Raw genomic sequence first — 7603 nt, forward strand, 5'->3', positions numbered from 1 at the left:
ACCAAATGCCAGCTGCCCACACTAGCAACATGCTTTCAAACACCGTATTGGTTGTTATCTTGCCCTGTCTCATTTTGTCATCCACCTTCCAAATTACTTTCACTCACAACCTTTTATTGGGTCTGCTTCTGGATAAAAAAATTCAAGCTGAGACACCCTATGGCTCAGAAACGTTCCTGGGGATACAACTGGATCCACTCTGAATGAATGAATGAATGCATATGAAGAAATTGTATCCAGGTCAAGCACAGTTGCTCACGCCCGTAATCCCAGCACTTTGGGAGGTGAAGGTGGGAGGAGCTTGAGCTGGTAACCACTGTTCCATTCTCTGTTTCTATGTATTTGACTTATTTAGATTCCACCTATAAATGAGATCATGCAATATTTTGGAGATCAGCCTGGGCAATAGAGTGAGACCCCATCTTAACAAAAAATTTAAAAATTATCTAGGCATGGTAATGAGCATCTGTACTCCCAGCTACTTGGGAGGCTGATCTGGGAGGACTGATTGAGCACAGCAGGTTGAGGCTGCAGTGAACCATGACTGTGCCACTGCACTCCAGCCTGGGGGACACAGCAAGACCCTGTCTCAAAAATAAATTTTAAAAAACCAGTTTTTAAAAAGGAGAAATTGCATTCAAATCCCCTAAAAGTAAAACAAGTTGCAGTTTGAAGAATTGGCATGCTACCCTTAGGCTTAAGACAGTGAAAATATCCAGGGAGTGTAATAGAGGGGAGGGAAGGGGCAGATGTGTGTCATTTGTCCATTGTCATCACTTTAAATAGAGTTCAATAGGGTATCATTCTTTCTCCTACCCATGGGACAATAGTGACTCCTGTTCAGCTTCTCCCATACTTTGTAGTACATAAACAATGATGTAGTGAACATCCTAATAATTGCATCTTTGCACATTTCTATGAGAATTGCTGTAAGAGAAATTCCTGGAAATTGCTATGAGTGTCATAAACTGTGAGTCTTTTGCATTTATCAGATCTGCCAAATTGCTCTCCAGTTTTGCATTCCTCACATCCTTAACAACAATAAGTGTAACCCACATGCTTCCTCTTTGCCAGTTTTGTATATGAATCGCAGACTTTTTGTGGCTAGAATTTGCACGTCCACAAATGTGAGTGAGGCTGATTTTCTTCTTCTGTGTTTATTACTTCTCCAAATTCTGAATCAGGAGAAAAGGAAATAGGCAGAGGGAGGTGTACAATTGGACAAAGATTATCAGAACTATTCAAAAGCCCATGCTTTTGAATAGTTTCCCAGTGGGTGGGAAAATGAGATGTTTTTGTTTTGACATGATTTCAGACGATCGTAACGAGAAAGAAATAAAATTTAGTTGATCATATTCAAAATTCTGAAGGACTGAAAGAAAGTTAAAGATGTTTACCCAATGAAGGAAGTCAGTGCAAGAGGTAGCTTGCACAAACAGGCCCCAGGGCTGGACGAGATGGTTCATGAGATGGCAAGACTGGCATACCATCGGTTGGGCGATTAAACTAAGGTCTCTTAGTTTGCCCACGATTTTATTTTCTATCATGGTGAAAGAGTTGTCATTTTTCTCTTTTATAAACAAACACAAGGGTGGTATGAAGGTGGCCTGCCTTTCAAAGGGCCCCCAGTGATCCCTTCCTGCTGGTATTCACACCTTTGTTTAACCCCCCACCTCTTGAATATAGGCTGCACTTATTACCTGTTTCAAAATGATAGAAGATGGCACAAGTTATGGGGTGTCTCTTCAATATCTAGGTTATAAGGGACTGTGACATCTGTCTTGCTAGCAGAATCTCTCTATTGCCTTCTGAGCTGGCACGATTTGATGAAGCAAGAATCTGTGTTGGAGAAGCCCACATGACAAAAAAAAGAGGGTGGAGGCCAGGTGCAGTGGCTCACACCTGTAATCTCAGCACTTTGGGAGGCTGAGGCGGGAGAATTGCTTGAGCTCAGGAGTTCAAGACCAGCCTGGATAAGATAGTGAGACCCCGTCTCTACAAAAAATAAAAATAAAAAATTAGCTGGGCATGGTGGTGCGTGCCTATAATCCCAGCTACTTGGAAGCCTGAGGCAGGAGGATTGCTTGAGCCCAGGAGTTCGAGGCTGCAGTTGAGCCACGAATTTGTCACTGCGCTCTAGTCTGGGCAACGGTGAAACCTGTCTCAAAAAAAAAAAAAAAAAAAAAAAAAAAAAAAAAAAAAAAAGAAGGAAGAAAATGAGGGTGGCCTCTGGCCAACAGTCAGTGAGAATCCAAATCCTGCCTGCCAACAGCCATGTGGCGAGTTGGGAAGTGGGTCCTTTCCTAGCTGAGCCTGCAAATGAAACTCAGGCTCTGGCCAGCAGCCTGAGTGCCTCCAGGAAAATATCCCAGAGAAAAGGACCCAGTGAAGCTGTGTCCAAATGCCTGACCCACAGGAACAGCGTGGTAATAAATGTGTGTTATTTTGAGCCGCTAAGTTTTGGGGTAATGTTTTGTGCAGCAATCAATAACTAATACAGATGGCATGTTTTATGATGAACATCACTGATTTTATGGGATTTTGATAGCACTTTCATACTCCAGAGAGATTGAAAATCTCCGTTCACCTCTTGGGGAAAGTGGAGAGAAACTAAGTTCATACCCGGTTGTATTTATATTATTTTTCTGGACAAATAAAAGTACTTTTATCCTACTCTTTTTTAATAATTAAAAAAAACAGAGATGGGAATCACACTATGTTGCCCAGGCTGGTCTCAAACTCCTGCCCACAAGTAGTCCTCCCACCTCGGCCTGCACTCAACCTCTTATCGTATTCTTCTACACCTTTATGCCTATACCTTTGTTTACACGCATCGGTTTTTTTCTTCTGATGGTCCCCTAGACATAAACTCAGGTTCATTAAATCCCGCCCTCCGACCTTTTTTTTGAGATGGCGTCTCACTCTGTGACCCAGGCTGAAGTGTAGTGGCGTCACGTCAGCTCACTGCAACCTCTGCCTCCCGGGTTCAAGCAATTCTCTTGCCTCAGCCTCCTGAGTAGCTGGGACTACAGGTGTGTACCACCAAGCCTGGCTAATCCCATTATCTTCATTCACCCTCACATCATCAAATGTTGGCCACGTCCCAGATCTTTCCCTCCGGGTGGCCCCTTGAACAAAGAGGACCTAGACATCACGGCAGAGTGTCTTAAATGATATGATATGATAGATGGAAATGATGCATAAAGAAGGACTTGGGACCCTTTCAGGCATGGTTGCAGGAAGGGCGCTGTAATGTGAACAGATGCAGGCTGTTCAGATTGTCCTCACTCGTGTCTCTGAAACCTGAACATGGTTCGCCTTAGTCAACGATGCCACTCAAGTTGCTCCTCCAAATACACAGGCTTGAGTGCCACCCTAGATTCTACTGGCTTTTAAATTTCACCTTTTTTAGGCCAGGTGCAGTGGCTCACACCTGTAATCCCAGAATTTTAGAAGGCTGAAGTGGGAGGAAGGCTTGAGCCCAGGAGTTTGAAATCAGCCTGAGCAATATGTCAAAACCCTGCCTCTACAGAAAAATACAAAAATTAACCAGGCATGGTGGTACCCGCCTGTAGTCCCAGCTACTCAGGAAGCTGGGGTGGGAGGATCACTGGCACCCGGGGGTCGAGGGTGTAGTGAGCCATGATTGCGCCGCTGCACTCCTGCCCGGGTGAAAGAGTCAGACTGTCTCAAAAAAAAAAAAACACTTTTTTTTAACAAAGGTTTTTTTAAAGTCACTTTTTTTTTTTTGGAATAGCATTTAGGGAATTGAGGGAAAATACCACCAGGCAATGGAATGAAAAGAGAAGGAAAAGCAAAGAGAAGTTATACTAACAGAGATAACCAAAGATGTTTTTTCTCCTAAGTTTAAAAGACTGGGAACTCTTAAATTCTCCGCCAGGAATAAATTCTCTGTCTCAATCCTGTTCTCTCTTGTTTCTGTCCAAGGTTAGATAAAATTATACCTATGAGGGTTAGGGGATCTATTTCACTGTTAAATGGAAACAGCTATATAAATTTTAATGTAGAGATTATATTTATCTATGTCATAACCAGGGTCTTAAAATTTTGCAATCTAATTGTTATATTCAATGGTTCTCAAACTATTCTTTTGGAGCTGAGGAAGCCTTTCTTTAAATGAAATCTCTCAGGCAAGACCAATATGTGTAGCAGTTAAAATAAGAGCTGCTGGAATACTACTCAGCAATAAAAAGGAAAAATAGGGCCAGGCGTGGTGGCTCATGCCTGTAATCCCAGCACTTTGGGAGGCTGGGGTGGGTGGATCACCTGAGGTTGGGAATTCGAGACCAGCCTGACCAACATGGAGAAACCCTGTCTCTACTAAAAATACAAAATTAGCCAGGCGTGGTGGCAGGTGCCTGTAATCCCAGCTACTCAGGAGGCTGAGGCAGGAGAATCGCTTGAACTGGGGAGGCAGAGGTTGCAGTGAGCCAAGATCGTGCCATTGCACTCTAGCCTGTGCTACAAGAGCGAAACTCCATCTCCAAAAAAAGAAAAGAAAAGAAAAGAAAAAAACGAAAAGGAAAAATAAAGCACTGATGAATAACACAATTTGCAGGAATTTCAAGGGAACTTAACTGAGTGGAAAAACCAATCTCAAAAGGTCATGTACTGCATGATCCATCCTATTTATATAATCCTGAAATGACAAAATTCTAGAGATGGAGAACAGAATAGGGATTGTCAGGGATTAGGGAGGCGAGGACCCTGGGAAATAGGTGTGGCTTTACTAGGGTAGCACAAAGGTATACTTGTAATGACTGTTCTGTGTCTTCACTGTGATGGTCCCACGTATCTACATGTGATAAAGTTGCATGGAACTGAACACACACATGCATACAAATGAGCACATGGAAAACTGGTGAAATCTGAAGAAGGTCAGTGGATTGCATCAATGTCAATTTCTTGGTCATGATGTTGTACAAGATATGCAAAACTGAGTGAGGGTATATATGGGATCTCTCTGTATTATTTCATACAACTGCATGTGAATCAATGCTGTTCTCAAAGTTGAAAGTTTTTTTAAAAACCAGAATTGCCTTAGAAGTTGTTTGGGACTCACTCCCTCCCTGTTTTCTTCTCCTTAAAGTGAGTACCTTAGAGCACCATGAAGAAACCTCAGGTCAACTCCAAGACCTGCATTTGGCAACAAGGAGCTCCCACCCAGAGATAGAGGGTGACCTGTGCTCACTACCCAGTGAGGGGGTAACAGGGCTGGAGACTCAGCCTCATCTCAACACCTCCAGATTTTCAGCCAAAGACTCTTTCTTCTAAATCTAAATTATTGTTGTTGTTTTTGAGACAGGTTCTCACTCTGTCACCCAGGCTAGAGTGCAGTGATGTGATCTCAGATCACTGCAACCTCTGCCTACCAGCCTCAAGAGATACTCCCACTTCAGTCGCCTGAGTAGCTGGGACTACGGGCAGGTGCCGCCACACCCAGCTAATTTTGTAGTTTTTGTAGAGGCAGGGTCTCACTATGTTGTTCAGGCTGATCTCAAACTCCTGCACTCAAGTGATTCAGTTGCCTCCGCCTCCCAAAGTGCTGAAATGACAGGTGTGAGCCACCACATCCAGTAAGTTCCAATTGTTTTGTCCTTGCTGAATATTTGCTGTGAAGACCAAATTAACTAAATACATGAAGCAACTTAAAATCATTAATACTGGAAGCTAATGAGGCCTTGTAAAACCCTGTGGAGAGGGTAATAATCTTAACCCTGTTTTACAAGTGAGGAAATTAGAGCACAGAGAGGTTAAGTAATTTGCCCAGAGGTAAACCCTAGTGGGTGGCTCTGCTGGGATTAGAACCCACATGGTCTGGCCCATGAGGGTTCCATAGTGCTGGGCTGAGCACATACTAATCGCACAAGATGACATGTGTCTGTGTGTGTACACGCATATGCACAGGTGTGTGTCTTTCAAAAGTCAAGTCTGCATGCCTGCTAAGGCCATCATAGAAATGAGATTTGGGTTTAAAACTCAGCACCTTTGCTAATGCTGTGTTTCTCCTACCCTCCTCCACTGGAGAAATTTAATTTGCTCAGGAATCTCCCATTTTGCCACCGGGAAAGCACAAAGTGACAGAACTTTGGCAGCTTCAACTGAGGGCTCCAGTACTTGTGGCCCAGCTGAACTTGACATTGCAAAGGGAGGGGAAGTTCCTCCCAAATGTCAGGTAGCACAGACATGGAGAGCTGGCCTCATGCCCAAACCACTACGATAATGCCCGGGCCTTGTCATTTACTGCTGTTTCTGCTCACATCATCCAAAGATGCTTCATTAGCTCCTCATTCCATCTTTATTTAGTTTTCCATCAATGTCTCTGTCACTTTTATTTCCTCTTCTTGATTTCAAAATTTGTACTTAGCTGTCAATTCCGAATATACCCACGACTTCCCCATCAGAATCAATTATTTCATAATTACATAACTCATTTGTATCAAATAAATTCTTCTAGTTATTTTTGTTGTTGCTTTTTTTTTTCTGAAATGGAGTTGCGCTCTTGTTGCCCAAGCTGGAGTGCGATGGCATGATCTCAGCTCACTGCAAACCTCTGCTTCTGGGGTTCAAGTGATTCTCCTGCCTCAGCCTCCAGAGAAGCTGGGATTACAGGCACCTGCCACCGCACAGAGCTAATTTTTTGTATTTTTAGTAGAGATGAGTTTTCACCTTGTTGGCCTATAGTTTTTAATGTGGTCACTTTTTCGGGACTATCAGAAGACCTTGAGTTTTCTATTGTCTCATGAAATGTTTCCTTGCGCTCGGATGATAAGGATCAGAGATTGGGAGAACACAGCAAGTAACATGCTGTTCACACAAGCAATTTTTATTGTTTTTACAAAAATAAATTTATATTATGATGTAGTACGCTTTTTTTTCACTTAATAAATTGTGGACTTTTTCCAACATTATTTTGATGGTTACTGTTTTGGGTTGAATAGTGTCTCCCAATAATTTATGTCCACCCAGAACCTGTGAATGTGACCTTATTTGCACATGGAGTCTTTGCAGATGTAATCATGCTAAGATGGGGTCTCCCTGGATTAGAGTGGACCCTACATCCAGTGACTGGTTTCCTATGAGAAGAAAATTTGGGCACAGAGACATAGGAGAAAGAAGACCCCGTGAGGACAGAGGCAGAAGTTGGAGCACTACAGCTACAAGCCAAGTGTCTCCGTCCATTTGTGTTGCTGTAAGGGAACACCTGAGGCTGGGTAATTTATAAAGGAAACAAGTTTATTCGGCTCACAATTCTGCAGGCTGTGTAGGAGGCATGGCACCAACACCTGCTTCTAATGAGGGCCTCAGGAAGCTTCCGCTCATGGTGGAAGGTGAAGGGGAGCTGAATTGTGTGAAGATCACATGGCAAGAGAGAAAGAAAGAGACAGAGGAAGGAGGTTCCAGGCTTTTTTGAACAACCACCTCTCGCAGGAACTGATTGAGCAAGAACCCAGTCATTACTGCAAGGACAGCACCAAGGCATTCATGAGGGGATCCATCCCCATGACCGATGGTCATGGGTGTTTAGAAATCAGGGTTGCTTTAGAAGCCTTCCATTCTGCCCTACCTCCAACACTGGGGA

The 7603-nt window shown here is 43.3% G+C and overlaps 1 annotated feature.

Annotated features, from left to right (window-relative positions):
- Positions 252 to 421: an enhancer, noted in NCBI's record as "experimental_24921 CRE fragment used in MPRA reporter constructs". NCBI's record gives its function as "activates a minimal promoter by MPRAs in K562 erythroleukemia cells, with activity observed for both the introgressed and non-introgressed 12:114967310 variant alleles {active_cell/tissue: K562}" and the evidence as "EXISTENCE:reporter gene assay evidence [ECO:0000049][PMID:34662402]".

The sequence above is a fragment of the Homo sapiens genome, chromosome 12 (genome assembly GCF_000001405.40).
Source record: "Homo sapiens chromosome 12, GRCh38.p14 Primary Assembly".
NCBI lineage: Eukaryota > Metazoa > Chordata > Mammalia > Primates > Hominidae > Homo > Homo sapiens.